This window comes from Homo sapiens, chromosome 17, assembly GCF_000001405.40.
Source record: "Homo sapiens chromosome 17, GRCh38.p14 Primary Assembly".
NCBI lineage: Eukaryota > Metazoa > Chordata > Mammalia > Primates > Hominidae > Homo > Homo sapiens.
The window spans coordinates 66,569,580-66,587,192 of NC_000017.11; the positions used below are offsets into that span (position 1 = coordinate 66,569,580).

Here is a 17,613-nt window from a genome sequence, read left to right on the forward strand (position 1 = left end):
AAAACCTCCTCCTACAGATCAGTAAGAAAGACAATCCAGTAGAAAAATGGGGAGGAGATTTGTAAACTTCATGAAAGAGGATATAAAAATGGACAATAAACATAAAGTGTTCAACCTGGGTCATCAGGGGAATGCAAATTAAAACTGCAATGGGATGTCACCAGCAGTCGTAAGAAAGAATAAAATGAAAAAGACCACAGTACTAAGTGTTGGTGAGGACATGCTCCTGGTATGCAAATTGCTATAACCACTTTAGAAAACTGTCAGTATTGACTAAAGCTGAATACACACTCCTGTCAGACAGCAATTCTTCTCGTAGGTGGATCCCCAAAAGAAACATGCATGTGTACCCCAAAAGTCATGCCCAAAATGTTCACAGAAGTATTATTCATAATTGCCTTAACCTGGAAACAACTCAGATGTTCCTCACATGTAGAATGGATTTTTTTGTATAATCCTATCATGGGGTACTGTGCAGCCCTGAATGAAAAACCTGTTATGTGCAACAAAAGTGTGATGTCTTGCAGACATAACACTGAGAGAAAGAACCCAGGCACAGAATTGTTTTCTGTATATAAAACTCAAAAAGAGGCAACACTCATCTCTAGTGCCTAGGGGTCAAGGTAACCACATCTTGCTGGGGAGAAGAGTGACTAGAACAGGCACAAGGGGACTTCTGGGGCTCTCGTTCCATTCTGACGATGGACGGGTTTGTGGATACACAGGCGAGATTATGTTGTGAGAATCCATCAGGCTGCATATTATGACTTGTGCATGTAAAACATGTATGCTACACCTATTAAAACGTGTTTGTTTTAGAAATGCCTTCAGTATGTACAGCTATGATAGATCAACAGAAAAAATAAAACACTTTAAAATTTCTTTAAAAATTTTTAAAAAGCAGTGCCTTCAAACACCCAGGCTATTGTGCAGCGTGTTGCTACTGTCTGTGATGCCTGCGAGGCATGGGTGAGAGGAGGAGGCGGTGCCAGTGAGTAGAGTGAGATCGTGATATTGCTAAATCACTTTCTTAGGGTGTGAAAGACTCTGCTTTAGCTCTTTTTCGGGCTTTTCTGCCATGCCTTACTAGTTTTGGCAGTTTTCCTATTAAAATTATATGTAATGTCTTGATATAACTGTGCTCGTCTGGAGCTGTGTATTTAAATAGCTGTAAACTTCTCAACCCAAATTGTGGGAATTAAATTTCCATTAGCAGATTGGCAGCATAATCTGGTGGGATGTTCTCTGGGCCCAAAGCCAAGAGCCCTGGGTTCTAGTTACAGCTTCTAGTCCTGACCTGGAGCATGTCACTCAGCCATCCTCCGTGGGTACCTCCTCCTGAAAATAATATTAAATCTACATATGGAAATCACATCCACCCACCTCTAAGGTTGCTGTGAAGGTAAGGGAAGGTAATATCTGTGAGCACTGTTTGCAAATTGCAACTGCAGAGTCATAAATCTGTTTGCATAAACCACACATTCCAGAGGGGTTCTAATCGTGTTTACATATACTTCTTAAATTTCGTACTAAATGTCTGTAGATATGAAGATGTGAAAACAAAAGCTCAGTGAGAAAGTAACCAACAGAATGGAGGAATTCTGGAGAAGTCCTAACATGTAGTGTTTTCCCATTCCTAATCCCTATCATCTTGTGGCATTGCGTGTACTTATTTCTGTGTTTTCACATTATTAACTGACCATTTTGGATGGTTGAATATACAGGAGAGGTGCTGGTTCAGGAAATAATTGTTTTTTTTTAATCCATATTTCAAAAGTAATTCTTGTCGGTATATACAAATATGTTTAAGTTTTATTATTTGCCTTTTAACAAATTACAACATGCCACATTAGGAATAAGTTTGACACACCTTAATCATTTTAAGTCTTATTATCACTAAAATTTGCAGCATTCTCCTTCATGGAAGAAAAAGTTAATTTGGTGGAACCTTTAGTCAAATTAATTGGTCAGAAGAAATACTGTATACTTAACTGAAAGAGGGAAAAAAACCCCATGTTTTAATGAACTTAAATTTAATTGAACAACCTTCCTCAATCAATGTTTTAGAAATTGTTTTTCTCAGGAAACAAACTATTGACCTAGGCAAGTGGTTTAAAAACTTTTGTTTGACGGTAGACATATACTTTTGCAAATAAAACCTTCCACGGAACCTGAGTCCGTAGAGCAGATAAAAGACCACTCTGAAGCAGGGGTAGGAGTGGAGAAGGTAGAAAAATGGGTGGTAGATCTTACCACTGAGTGTTTTGCTTTTGAAATACGAAGCCTGTTGGATGCCATGGAAAGCCAGATAACTATTACTCTGTATGATAGTGCAGGGAACGTTCTGTGTGTGGTTGTGTTATGTTGACATTCCATCCAGTGTGCCACTCCGTATAATTCCGTCTGACGTGCCACTCCATATAATTGGGATGCTGTCTGTTCACTTAGCTGATAGAGGTGGGATTCAGAGACTGTGGTGTCTGTGATGCTGTGATCCTAGACATGGTAAGTGCGTAATACCTCTAGATGCTGATAGATTAAGCTATGATTGAATTTATAGTTTCCAGAATGAATATTGTACTTTGAGAGGCTATAAAGAATATCAGGCTGGGCATGGTGGCGCACGCCTGTAATCCCAGCACTTTGGGAGACAGAGGTGGGCGGATCACCTGAGGTCAGGAGTTCGAGACCAGCCTGCCCAACATGGCAAAACCCCATCTCTACTAAAAGTACAAAAATTAGCCAGGCGTGGTGGTGGGCACCTGTAATCCCAGCTACTCAGGAGGCTGAGGCAGGAGAATAGCTTGAACCCGGGAGCAAGAGGTTACAGTGAACCAAGATTGCACCATGACACTCCAGTCTGGGCCACAGAGCAAGGCTCCATCTCAGGGGGAGGAAAAAAAAAAGAATATCAGTAACTGAGAAAATACGCAAGATGAACCACCTTTCCAGAAATGTTCCAGTTAGTCAAATTATCCTGGTAACCCACAGCTCACTGCAGCCTTAATCTCCTGGGCTCAAAAGATCCTCCCACCTCAGCCTCCCAACTAACTGGGACCATAGGTGCACAACACCATGCCTGGCTTTTTGATTTTTTTGTAGAGATGGGCTCTTGCCACATTACCCAGGCTGGTCTCAAACTTCTGGGCTCAAGCAGTCCTCCTGCCTTGGCCTCCTAAAGTCCTGGGTCATGAGCCACCCCACCTGGCCCTGAGGCTTTTCTGACTAAAATATTTTAAAATGTTATATATTTTTAAAACTAGTTTTTGCTATAGTATGAGATGAATATCTGTCCCCTTTTGAGTAAATTTCAATTAAAAAATACAGAGTCCTGTAATTCAGTGATAAGGGAGCTGGGGAGGCCCTTACTTTCAAACCTGAAGAATTACATCTGCTTCCCAAGAACTGCTTTCTTGGGAACTTTTAAAAGTATGTATTTGTTTTTGTGAGTTTGTAAGAGCTGCGTTCTGTCTACAGAGGAACTTGTTAATGAATCCCTCCTCTTATGATATTTTATATAGAAATGCTTGGTTTGTGGGTTGCGCCCATGACATACACTCTGGGAAATAAGAAAATTATAGACAAACCAAAATAGAAAGCAGCTCCTCTCTCAAGGTGAGTTCAGCAGTTGTCAGTGGATAAAAGGACCTTGTAATGAGCAGCTAAGCCCACACTCCTGAAATGCCTTTTCATTGCAAGAGTGAAAACGAGAGATAAAGGAGGTTTTTTCCTGAGTAATTCTAGCTTGCCTAGCACGCTATGAGCAACAGATAGAGGCCAACTTTAAAATCTCCATGACTGAATTATACCACCAAAACTTGTGATCAGTTCGTTTTCTGCTGAAATCAGGAATACATGGGTCATTAATATCAAGTAGAATAGAAAAGAGAAAAGCAGTACCTAAACGCAACCATCTTTTTTATCCTCAGTTGGAAAAGTGTCTGTTTTCTTCTAATTATAAAGATGCTGCATGCTCATTACAGGAAGTTCTAAGAGTATCAAAAAGTGTGAAGAATTAAAGATTAACCAAAATTCTGGGAAAAGATTGTTATAACAATGTTGACAGGCATTTACAACAAAGCATAACATTATTCTTTGACATTATGCTTTGTTGTTGTTTTTAACAAGCTATATCTAGCTTCCTATTATTTTCATTTTGAAGTGCGACATTCACCCATCAGAATATACACTGAACTCATAAAAATATTCCATGTTTCAAAAGATGAAATACAACCTTTAAATAAACACCTAGAAAAATGGCCTCCCTGGGCACAGGGGTGCATGCCTGTAGTCCCAGCTCCTCGGGAGGCTGAGACTGGAGGATCACTTGAGGCCAAAGAGTTTGAAACCAGCCTGGGTTTAACACAGACCCCCATCTCTAAAAAATGAATTTATTTTAAAATTTTTTATATGGCCCGAAGGGTATTAAAGACAACAATGTAAAACAAGATCCTGCTTATTAAGTTAATGAAATCACAACACCCAGGGTTGACAAGGGAGCCAAAAATGGCAGTCTTTTTCTGTCTTATGGCCTATACGTTGATATGGTATATTTGGAAATGAATTTGGTGATATGTATCAATAAGCTTTACTGTTTATAATCTTGATCTGAGAACTTCATTTTTATATTTATTTGCCTAAAGAAAGACTATATTTATAAGGGTGTTTGTGTTGAAATGGTCATTCCAGTGGAAATGGCCTACATGGAATGGGCTGTACCTCAGCTGGACTTCAATTCAAATGGCTGTCTGCCAGCTCCGAGCCTTGGACAAGTCACTTAACCTCTAACCCTCAGTCAGTCTCTATATTTTTAAATGGGGACGACAATAATCCCTGTCTCAGAGTGTTTTTATGAAGATTACAATGTAATTTAATATGCAAAGCACTTAGAACCCTGTCTAGCACGGAGAAACAGCGCAGTTGTCACCCCTTCTCTGCAGGGGATACATTCCAGGGACCCCCGTGGAAGCCTAAAACTCCAATAGTGTCAACTCTGTATAAGCAGGTTGATTATCCCTAATCTGAAAATTTGAAATGTTCTAAAAACCAAAACTCAGCGGTGAAAGGAAATCCCCACTGGAGCATTTCGGATTTTCAGATTGAGGCATTTAACCAGTTAGCATGAAACAGATATTCCAAAATCAAAAAAAAAAAAAAAATCCTAAATTCCAAGCACTTCTGGTCCCAAGCATTTTGGCTAAGGGATACCCAACCTGTACTATGTTTCTTATGCATTAATATGTCTGATCCATTTATAAATTAGGCACAGTAAGAGATTAACAACAATAATAAAATAGAACAATTCTAACAATATACTGTAGTAAAAGTTATGTGAATGGGGTCTCTCCCTCTCTGAAAATATCATACTGTTGATGTTAGCAATCTGGGCATATGAAATTTCACTTATCGGGAATTTTCACCTTTTCACTTAAAGTAATTTCCAGCTTCTCTTTGACATATCTGAATTGCCGGTGTCACCACTCTGGTACTTTAGGGCCATTATGAAGTAAAATAAGGATTCCTTCAGTTCAAGCCCTGTGATACCTCAACAGTTTATCTATAACCGATGGCTACGAAGAGACTAAGAGGCGGTAGCAGCATCTACAGAAGGGGTCTGCTGGACAAAGGGATGATTCGCATCCCAGATGATATAGTGGGATGGTATGAGATTTCATCACACTATTCAGGATTGTGTGTAATTTAAAACTTACAAATTGGGCCAGGTGTGGTAGCTCATGCCTGTGATCCCAGCATTTTGGGAGGCCGCGGTGGGCGGATCACCTGAGGTCAAGAGTTCTAGACCAGCATGGCCAACATGGGTGAAACCCCATCTCTACTAAAAATACAAAAATTAGCTGAGCATGGTGGCGCACACCTGTAATCCCAGCTACTCGGGAGGCTGAGGCAGGAGAATCACTTGAACCCGGGAGGCGGAGGTTGCAGTGAGCCGAGATCGCATCCTTGCACTCCAGCCTGGGTGACAAGAGCGAAACTGTCTTAAAAAAATAAAGTTGTTTATTTCTGGAATTTTCCTTTTAATATATTCAGACTGAGGCTGACCACAGGTAATTGAAACTGGAAAACAAAACCACACATACAGGGATTACTTGGAAACATTGCCTGTTACCACCTTATGCATTGGTGTGAGGCTTGAATGGAGTAACACCTGAGGGCAGTGTCTGGATAGAGTAAACCAGCATTCCATGTTAGATGATATTCTTAGTGTTAGTATTAGTACATAAAACTTAGAAACAGGACCGGGCACGTGGCTCATGCCTGTAATCCCAGCACTTTGGGAGGCCAAGGTGGGTGGATCATGAGGTCAGGAGTTTGAGACCAGCCTAACCAACATGGTGAAACCCCATCTCTACTAAAAATACAAAAATTAGCCAGGTGTGGTGATGCATGCCTGTAATCCCAGCTACTCCGGAGGCTGAGGCAGGAGAAGTGCTTGAACCTGGGAGGTGGAGGTTGCAGTGAGCCGAGATTGTGCCACTGCACTCCAGCCTGGGCGACACACCCAGACTCCATCTCAAACAAAAACTTAGAAACAAATATTCATCTAATAACTGGAGGAAAAGCAAAATAAATTTCAGATGGAGGCTGTGCTATGAAGACTGTCACAGTTGGTTACAACACAGTGTTCATTGTAAGGATACCAAATTTCATGTGCGCGGTTGCTCTACCAAAGGATATGTGCATGGGAAGATGAAGTAAAAGGAGATGTATTCCACAGGTATAGTACCAGCTTCCATGGTGCCTGGCAAAGCATAAAGAAGCTTGGGTTTTGGCCTCTTGAAATTAATTTAAAGCATGAGATGGGCTTAAGCCCATACTATAGAGACCATTAAGATGCAGGAAGAGCTTGATAATTCTGGACCAGTCTATAATTTGAAATAAATGTATTTTGAAGGGCCAAAGCCAGTGGCTCTTTACTGCAGCATGTAATTTGATTCCTATTGGTTTTTGCAAGGTGCTTGAGGACTTTTTTCATGCTGAAATTTCATTTCTGCTGTTCGCAGGACAAGAGAAATTTGATACCCATGTACGACTTGACCAGGCTTGAAATTTCACTTTATTTGATGGTTCGGCTAGTCATATATAAATTAGTGGGTTCAGGCTTCAGTAGGGAACACACACAGAGCCAGCAGCTGTGGCCTGTTCCTGTCTCCTGAGTGAGGAGCATTCACGATGTTCTTTTCACTTAGAGAGGGCTTAGGGAAGATTTATGTGTTCGCTGTCTCTCATTTCTGTTCTCAAACCCTTGTTTTCTCCGTGGAAAATGGTGATGTACTTTTTTTTTTTTTTTTTTTGAGACAGGGTCTTGCTCTTTAACCCAGGCTGGAGTCCAGTGGTGCGATCTTGGCTCACTGCAGCCTCCACCTCCCGGGCTCAGGTGATCCTCCCACCCCAGCCTCCCAAGTAGCTGGCACTGCAGACGATGCACCACCAGCTAAGTTTTGTATTTTTGGTAGAGACGGGGTTTGGCCATGTTGCCCAGGCTGGTCTTGAACTTCTGGGCTGAAGCGATCTGCCTGCCTCTGCCTCTCAGAGTGCTGGGATTACAGGTATGAGCCACCGTGCCTGGCCCTGTGATGCACTTTTAATCACAGCGGTATTTGGTCAAAGGATGGCAGAATAACTAGGCTTGTGGGCTAGGGAGCATCCAGGAGGGACACCTGGTCTTCCGTGAGAGTCCGGCGATGGGGATCTTTGCATCCCTCTCTCACATTGGTCAAGGCCTCATTTCTACTCCTGATGTCTACTCCTGATTTGGGCCTGAGAGGTGCGAGCTCCCTTTCCAGAGTAGAATAAGCAGATGGTGATTCTGAGCAATGTGGGATGTGGACTGCAGCCTGGGCAAGGGAGTCCCTTGAGATGAGTCCTCCATAGCAGCCAGGATGCCACCCTGACTTCTGGCTCTCCTGACTCAGTCCACTTTTAGTCTCTTTTTCTGCAGGCCATGAAATAGCTCAGCCCCTGGCCTGCTTCAGACCTAGAGCTCAGCCAGCCTGCACTTCGGCTCTGGTTACGTCTTGGAGATCTGCTCTGTTTCTAGCCCAGGGAGGTGCGTAGTTTATATGGAAGTGAACTATATCTTTTTAAAAATACATTTCCTTCTTTTCTTTTTTATTGCGTCCATGTATTTAGAGCTAAAGGAGAGGTCCACAGCATGAGTTTATACTTCACCTTAGCCAGAAGTCCCTGCCACATTTATCCTTAGATCAGAGAATGACACTGGAGTGAGGACGGGGTAGTGGGGGGTAGGGAGTGGGGTGCTGCCCTAGCCTGTTCCCAGATGCTGCATAAGTCATCGTTTTCAATCCTGCATGCTTAGCTTCCGACCCCTGTCACCCTGCCACCCCCTCAGAAGCTGCCGCACACCTGCTCTGTGCCATGGACCAGCCAGAGTGCAGGGTTTGTGTCATGCGCCCCCTCCACCCCGTGAGCTCTTTCTTTAACCTTTCTCCTGCAACTCCTCCTCAGCCCCCTTTGAAATGCCAAATTCAGAAGCTGTGTTTCCCTTCCTCAGCCAGCTAACGAGAGACTGAATTTAAAACAAAACAAAACAAAACAAAACAGCCCTCATTGTCTCCCTTTGATATTTGCCTTTCATCTCGTCTGTCCCAGGGTCGGGGCATCCACCTAGGCCAGCACTCTGGAAAGACGCCTCACCTGCAGCAGGTAGAGCCCAGCAAGTCGGTCCAGGCTTCCGCACATGGTCATGTCCCCATGGGTTTGTCCACATGGGTTTGTTTGTCCTTGGAAACCCTTCAGCTCCAGGGAGCCTGAAGTCCTTGGCGAAGGATAAAGTGGAAGGGGAATGCAGCATGAGGGAGTCTTTCTGTTCATATTCACCACCTGAAAATTACAATGGTTCAAGCAGTGCACCTTCTAGACGAGGTGGTCTCAGCAAGCCTTAAAACCATCTGGTCAACAAGAGCAAAACATGTATAAGGCCATGAATGTACCTGGGGCTGGTTTGGTTTGGTTTGCACAAACCACCCCCTCCTCTGAGTGATGTATAAATAAGAAAGTAAACCCATCTCCCTGCCAAGTCATTCTAAAGAAGTAGCCCTGTCTTGGATGCCCATGTTTGTCTTCCACACCCTTTAGTGTAGAAGACATCAGGGCCCACCTCTGCATCCTGGGCCTGTGGTTCCTGTCCTCTTCATCCAGATCTGTGACTGTCGTGATAGTGTCCTAACTGACCGCCTGTCTCTCTGGTCTTGTGCCTCCTCCCAGCCGTCCTCGGGCCCCCTTGCACTGTGGATCACGTCCCCATGCCGACACTCATCTGTTTCGACCTGTGGGTGGCTCCCCGCGCAGCTCGCCAGGCAGGCCTCTGTGAACTGACTCTGAGAGTGCTCTCTGGCCCCACCGTTGCTTCTCACCTCTGCACTTGCAAGAGGCTACTTGTGCTTCTGTGCAGGCTGTGGCCTCTTGGGGCTCCCTGCATCTGTGGTGGCTGCTGCTTTCTGCTCGGAGCATGTGCACATGTGCGTTCCCTAGTCAGTACACAGTCAGCCCCTGCTGTGGCGCTGGCACACAGCAGAGAGCAAGAGAAGTGGCTTTGCCCCCCATTGAACAGACAGAGTAGTAGGGAAGACAGACATCAAGCTAGTCATCACGACCATAATTACGTAATTACCCTTTGTGACAAGAGCTGTGAAGTGGCAGGAAGGAAGCAGACCAGGGTCAAGGATGGCCTTCCTGTGGTGTGATGTGTAAGCTGGAATTTGGGTAGGAAATAGGTGGAGAAAGAGCCTGAAGAAAGATGTTTCCGGAACCTGCGATCAAGATGTGTGAAAGTCGTGATGGGAAAATGAGGATGACGGTAGCAGTGGGTAGGGGTCAGAGGTCACGCTTACCAAGGGTTTACCGTGTCAGGCACGGGTCTGTGTTACCTCATCACGTCCTCATACGACACTGCAAGAAAGGTGCTTTTACCATCCCCACTGCACACATGTGAAAACTGAGGCACAGAGAGGCCAGTGGGCATGCCTGAGCTCACGTGGCTGGTAGGGTGGTGGGATTTGGACCCAGGTAGTCTGGGTCCCGGGATCAAGCTGCAGTCACTGCAGCATCTTGCTGGGACCTTGAAAGAGGCCTTTGTGACTGGAACTGAAACCAGGGAGCTAAGGCTGGAAGGCAGAGGCAGGGCCATGGAGATGGTTTAGGAAGTGAGTGATGAAATTTGGATTTTTATGTGATCAGACTTGGTTGGGAGGACAGTGGATTGAAGGAGAGGCAAGGGAAGGAGGCAGAGAGAGGAATTATACACCGAAGGTTAAAAAAAAAATCGGGGGTTGGACTTCCCTCCTTCTTTCACTTGGTGCTTTCTCCTTGCCCTTCAAGACCTGGTGCAGGTGTCACTCTCTCTCCTCGGCTCACTCTCTTTCTCTGCGCCGGAGATCCTCAAGATCAGGGGAGATGTCTCGGCATCTCTCAGGGTTCCTCATGCACAGGCGGCTTTCCACAAATAAATGAAAGGAATGGAGGGAAAATAGTTACAAAGCTAAGAAGCAAGATGTTTCATTGGGTAATTTAACTTTTCAAGTTCATAACTCTGATGTGACTTTCACAGTGTAAGCTGCCTGTGGCTGATACTTTACTCATGGAGTACTAGTGGTCTGTTATTCAAGCTAAAATTTCCATTTCCTTATTAGCCTGAGTGACCAGCATTACTCCCCTAGCTCCACATTCTTAGGGAGTCAAGAGGTCGCTTTCAGCAGGCCAATCTGTGCACGACCTGCTGGTGCTGCAGCATTCCTTACTCAGATCTCAGAGACCCTGGGATTTTGCAGTGCTTTGGAAAGCTGACAGGGCTGGCACTGGGGGCTGGCTGGGATGGGAACAGGCTGCCCCTCTTGGCTCTCCATATAGGCCTGAGAGCCACGTGGTCCCACATGAGACACTGAGCCATGTTTGGGCTCCGCCTCCAGGGTTCCACGCATTCTTAGCATCTCAGCAATCCAAGGACAAACACATCAGCTTCCCCGTAGCTAAACATAAGAAAGTTGTCCGTGTTTTTATATAAACTTTACTGACATTTAAACATGCATACTTCATGAAAAGTGCAATATTGTCAGTGTGCGGTAAAGTGGGTTTTCGCCAACTAAACACACTTATGATCAAAACATGCCCGGATTTGCACCCAGATCAGGAAACAGAACATGACGCCACCCTGCGCCCTTCTTGCTTCCCTTCTGTTTACTGCACTCCTCGTGAAGGTAACCTTTGTCATCGCTTCTAACAGCCTGGATTAATTTTGCCTGTTTTTTGGGCTTTCTACCAATGGGATCATACAATGTGTAGAGAGGATGTAGGTTTAAGATGAGATTTGTTGCCCCCCCCCATGCTCGATTTATCCCATGTTCCTAGAAATTATAGAGATAACACAAGTGGAAAGACAGTCTCACAGTCTCATGACAGGAAGGTTACCCATCCGGGGTCAAACCATGCTTGGCACAGAGCCACTTGTTAGGATTCAGCAGTAATTAAAATGACTGTGTTGTTTATAAATTGTTTTATGAGTGCATTAGTGCCTTGTTTATTTTTTATCACCAGAGAAAGAGTGATCCTCCTAAGTAAATGTTCTAGATCAGTTGAGAAAGCAAACTTTCTCAGCCAAGGGCCAGCTAGTAAATATTTTTGGCTTTGCAGGCGCATATGGTCTTCGTTGCAACCACTCAATTCTGCTCTTGGGATGCAAAAGCTGTCTTGGACAATATATGCACAAATGAGGCTGGCTGTGCTCCAAAAAAGCTCCATTTGTGGACATTCAAATAGGAAGTTCACATAATTTTCACTTGTCACAAAATATTATTCTTCCAACTTTTTAAACTTGAACCATATTTGAGAGGGAATCTTTCTGAAGTGTTTTGTTTTTTCTTTTTTGTTTTTTGTTTTTGAGACAGAGTCTCTCTCTGTCCCCCAGGCTGGAGTGCAGTGGCACAATCTTGGCTCACTGCACCCTCTGCCTCCTGGGTTCATGCCATTCTCCTGCCTCAGCCTCCCATGTAGCTGGGACTACAGGCACCCGCCACCACGCCTGGCTAATTTTTTGTATTTTTAATAGAGATAGGGTTTCACCGTTTTAGCCAGGATGGTCTCAATCTCCTAACCTCGTGATCTGCCCGCCTCAGCCTCCCAAAGTGCTGGGATTACAGGCATGAGCCACCGTGCCCGGCCATCTTTCTGAAGTTTTTAAACACTGATCTAAATTCTCAGGATGAGCTGAGAACATTTTCTTAGTAAATATGGGCAACATGGTTTAATAAAACATGGAAACCCTGGCACTGTCCTTTTGCCGTGTCTCTTTGGGCAAGTTTTAACTTCTCTGGGTCTGTTTCATCTTCTATGGGATGGGGATAAAAGGAAGGACATTTAGCCATTAGCCCCAGGAGAGCCATGCTAGTTATTTGTGAACAGAACCCCATCTGAAGAGTCACGGAGGATCCTAGTTGGTCAGTGTCCAGGCTGTGGCAGTTGTTAAATATTTTGAATATCACTCTTTGTCATGACATCCTCTCTACTGAGGTCTTGTATACACTATGGCCAGCATTTGCGTCGTGTATAGTAATTGCTGTTTCTCCTCTTCCCATGGAAATGGCTGTAGGCATTCTTGGCTAAGAGGGATACTTCTGTATTAACTACCGCAACTCAAGGACTTCTGTGCTACAGGTGGAATATCCTTATCCAAAATGCCTGGAACCAGATGTGTTTTAGATTCAGATTTTTGGATTTGGGATTTGATATAGTGTGGCTGTGTCCCCACCCAAATCTCACCTTGAATTGTAATAATCCCCATGTGTCAAGGGTGGTGCCAGGTGGAGATAATGGAATCATGGGGGCGGTTCCCCCCATGCTGTTCTCATGGTAGTGGATAAGTCTCATGAGAACTGATGGTTTTATAAATGGGAGTTCCCCTGCACAAGCTCTCTTGCCTGCCGCCATGTAAGATGTGACTTTGCTCCTCATTTGCCTTCCACCATGATTGTGAGGCCTCCCCAGCCTTGTGGAACTGTGAGTCCATTAAACCTCTTTCCTTTATACATTGCCCCATCTTGGGTATGTCTTTATTAGCAGCGTGAGAGCAGACTAACACAGGATTCTAGGCCTGTAGTTTGTGTAGTTTTCCATTCCCCTAGTGGCCACCAGGATGTGAGCTGTACCTTCACCTAGCCTGCCCTTAAGTCAGCTCCTCTACCAACTCTACCTTGCTGTTTCAGATTGGTAGGCTGATTAAAACTCTCTAAAGCCAGAGGAGGCCTGCATTCCACCCTCAGCTGAGTGTGAGCCCCGTGTGACCTAGGAAGTCAGCAGCACAGACTTTGGGGCCAGATAGTCTGGTGGAACCCCAGCCCCTGCCATTGATGTTATGTACATCCTGGGACGTGTTACTTACCCTCTCTGTTCTTCAGTTTTCTCCTCTGTGAAATGGGGAGAAATAGCACCTACTGCATAGTGGCTGTGAGGATTAGGTGAATTAGTATGTGAGAACATTTCAAACAGTCCAGGAAGCACTATGTAAATATTAGCTGTCATTATTTTTTTTGTTTTCACTCAAAACACATTACTTGGTTCTGATGCTTGCTAGAGATAGTTGAGGTTCCCGGGTATATGATCTCCAGATTAGAGAAGTTACATATTAAGTGACAGATTTGGTGTTGGGAGGAATCTCATGGGCATTTTTTTAGGATTTGATTATTTTCTGTTGTATCTCATTGTCGTCTTTTTAATAGCTGTAGACATCTAATCCTGAGCTAGTGTTTTACTGTTCTGTTACTCATAAAAATTCTGAAATGCAGGGGTTAAGAATAGACAATCAAGTCTTAAGTGCTTTGCAAAATGAATTTATTCCTTTGAGAATTAAAGTGATGTCCTGAAGGAAGTCACAGTTAATGGTCAGTTTCCTTTAGGGAAATATTCTTGAAGAATTAGAGTGCTGCTCTCACATATCTTTGATGGAAACCAAACAACTCCTGGGTTAATGTTTAGTTAAATGAACCAAAAAAAAAAAAAGTATCACTTTGCTTAGTTAGAAGCAAAGGAAAATATTAATTATTCGAATGGAGAAATGTTTGAAAATGAGAAATAATTATGTTACGGTGGTGGGATTACAGATGATAAGTATTTTTCTTTTTTTGAAGTTGGGTAAGTATTTTTCTTTTTTTGAAGATGGATTTGCCTTTTAAAAGGAAAGGGGGAAAAAGCCTGAAGCTGTTACAGTCTGTCTCTAAACTAAATTATCTTCACTGCAATCCAACATTGTGCAGCTAAGTATCATAAAATTAAGACTCACAGCCTAAACCCTCTAATAGGTAAGACTATTCTAAGACACTGGTAACACGTCTCTGAAAAGTGCTGGCGTTTTGTGCTGTTAGTTTCCTGGGTTGATTTTGGTTTGAGTTCACAGCAGAAGTCTGTTGGGTAGCCAGAAAGGAAGAATCATCACGTTGGGACACAAATCCGAGTCCTGTCTGTCCTTTGCATTCTTCCTTCCCCCACGTCGTCCTGGCTTGGCTTCAAGCAAGTCTGTGAGGTAAAGGTTGGTGGCTTAGCTTCCTAGGGCTTCTGTAACAAATTATCACCATCTGGTAGTTTTTATTGTTTTGGTTTTTGTTTGTTTGTTTTTGGCTTTTGTTTTTGTTTTTTCGATGGAATCTCGCTCTGTCGCCCAGGCTGGAGTGCAGTGGCTTGATCTCGGCTCACTGCAACCTCCGCCTCCTGGTTTCAAGCAGTTCTCCTGCCTCAGCCTCCCAAGTAGCTGGGACTAGAGGTGCCCGCCACCATGCCCAGCTGATTTTTGTATTTTTTTTTAGTAGAGACAGGGTTTCACCGTATTGATCAGGCTGGTTTTGACCTCCAGACCTCAGGTGATCTGCCTGCCTTGGCCTCCCAAAGTGCTGGGATTACAGGCATGAGCCACCGTGCCCGGCCAATCTGGTAGTTTTAAAACAAAAGAAATTTATTATATTACAGTTCAGGAGCCCAGAAGTCCCAAATCAACATGTCAGGAGGGCCACACTCCCTCCAAAGTCTCAGGGGAAGATCCTTCCTGGCCTCTTCCCACTCCTGGTGGCTTCTGTTGTTCCTCACCCTGTGACTGCATTACTCCATTCTCTGCCAATGTCTTCACACGGCCTTCTTCCCTTTGGCTCTGTCAAATCCCCTTCGTCTTTCTGAGGACACCAGTCATTGGACTTGAGGCCTACCCTAAATCCAGGATGATCTTATCTCGAGGTCTTTATTTAATTACACCTGCAAAAACCTTACTTCTACATGAAGTGGCATTGTTCGTCTGGGTTAATACCTGAGGTTCATTGCCTCATGCCAAGGAAATCAAGGACACTGACACACAAGGAGTGAGTTTAAGAGCAGGAGTTTAATAGGCAAGAGAAAGAGGAAAGCTCTCTCTCTCCTTCAGAGAGAGAGGGGCTCCTGAGTGAGTCTTCCAGTTCCATGGTGAAATGCATGGGGAGGGGGGGGTGGTGGTTAATAGATGAGCGTGGAGAGGCGGTGTCTGATTTACATAGGGCCCAAATGATTGGTTAGATAGGTGTGCCATTTACATAGTGTAGGAAGAAGATGGCTGCCCCACCCTAATCTTTTGTTAGGCAGGTGGGTTCTCTACCTGGCCAGCGCCATGTTGCCTGCTTCTTTATTGCACACCTGGTTGACAGAAGGGAAGATGGACCCTCCATGTTGAACACGCCTGACCCCCAGGTAGCCATTTCCTATCCGCAGAGCTGCCGGCATTCACCCGTGCAAGCTTCCAGCTTGCTTATCTATGTCTGCAGCTCGATTTTACAGGCTGCTCTGCTAGAAAAGAAATGATCTGGGGGCTGCTTTTTGTTAAAACAGAAACCTTGCTGAGGACTCTCTTACCCTCGCTAACTGCCTAAATAATTTCTTTCTAGTTCCTGTAGCACAAATAAGATTACATTCTCAGGTATTGGGGATTAAGACTTGGGACCACTCCTTAAGCCACTGTAGCTGACCTCACAGATGTCTCAGCTGACCACCAGGCAGGTGTTTCCACCCAAGGACGCACTTCCCCATTCCCCATGGCACCAGCAATGTGGAGTGGGGAGCCGCGGAGCAGGGAGCCAGCAGCTTAAGTTTGAAATCCAGCTCACTGTTCTTGAGACTGGAACCTGGAGGGCATTATTAAATGTCTCCCAGCCTTGGTTCCTGTCTTGTGTAAAGTGAAGGTGACGGTGTCTACCCCTCTGGGTCACAAGAAGCATGTGGGAGAATATGGGAAAGTAGCTGACAGGGTGCACAAGTTACAGCAGGAACTCAATATGTGTCCTTGAGTCTGAATGCAGTCATTTAGGGTCCTCAGTATTAACTGCCTTGCTCTCAGGTGGATGATGTTTGAGGATTAACAAATCTGTTGGGTGAATCCAGATAAATGGGGAGTTGACCTTTCTGGATGACACAGGTTGTTGACCATGGTTTAACATATTCAATAAGTTAATATAAAGAGTCTTGGCAGTGCCTGGTGCGGCAAAGGGACCTATATCTGTGGTTGTCATTGTCGTTGCTATGGTTGCCATTGCTATGGCACCATAACCTTGTTGATCTGAACCAGTAGAGATGAGGCTTTGAGGTGGCCCCTGGAGATCACAGCTGAGGAGCCCTAAGCCCACCCCCAGAAATGTTGTGAAAGTGGCTGCCTTCTTTCCTTTACCTAACTTGTGACATCCTTCAGCCCAGGACTCAGTACACAGTGGGCCCTCAAAAAATAGGATTAACTATTAACTGAAAGATCTTATTCCAGGTGTTCAGGGAATCAGCAGAATTAGCGTGACTTTCTGCTAATAATATCTTCAACTGATGTGATAAGAGTAGAGTTCTACCAGTGGCCACTGCAAAAGACACAGAGCATGCAAAATCCTCTCTCCTTTTATCAGAAGGAAGAGCTTCTCCATCCTTTCAACCTTGGACCAGTAATTGGTCCCTTTAGGAGTTAGTTTAAGAAAAGCTATGCATGCCTTAGCCAGCCTGAAGTCAGACCCTTAATGGGAAGCTGGTGCTTTATTGATGCTCAGTAACAGAACACTGCTTTGAGCTCAAAATAACTTCTACTAAGCTCCTTCAACAGCTTGCTCCCTAGGTGGCTCAGTGTTTTGCTGCTGTCTGAAGTTGTATATACTCCAGTGAAGCTTGAGTTTCTTCATGGTCATCATCCACTATCACCAGTTAATATGGGCTGAATATCCATAACATGTCAGACTCAGTCGGGATACATAAAGAAGACCCTGTACCTGCACTGGGGTTGTGGGTCTGAGGGCCATTAGAACTCTAGATGGCTGCACAGACACAGGTGAGGCTGTGGAGCAAAGGCAGAGTTGGTGGTGAAGGGCCTATTTTTAACTTTTATTGCCGCCATGTTGCTCCTACGATGCCATTATGAATGGTCTCTGTGAGTCCAGGCAGTGGTTAGTGTCTACTCAGAAACCTCACAATGTCTGTCCTCCTGGGATAGAATATGAACAGAATCCAGGTCTGGGGCCATGGATGTTGAACGTGATAGTATGTTTCCTGGTATCACTAAGGTCTGATCTCTTCCCGTTTTCCTACAGTTCTATGAACATTTCT

At 44.5% G+C, this 17,613-nt stretch overlaps 1 protein-coding gene across 11 annotated transcripts in view, besides 1 other annotated feature; it reads left to right on the forward strand.

Annotated features, from left to right (window-relative positions):
* PRKCA (protein kinase C alpha) overlaps nucleotides 1–17,613 on the forward strand; it is a 508,131-nt gene that overhangs the window by 266,967 nt on the left and 223,551 nt on the right. The window lies entirely within an intron of this gene.
* Nucleotides 7,981–8,941: an enhancer, noted in NCBI's record as "H3K4me1 hESC enhancer chr17:64573678-64574638 (GRCh37/hg19 assembly coordinates)". NCBI's record gives its function as "activates a minimal SCP1, AML or CMV promoter by ChIP-STARR-seq in naive H9 embryonic stem cells {active_cell/tissue: H9 hESC(naive)}" and the evidence as "EXISTENCE:reporter gene assay evidence [ECO:0000049][PMID:30033119]".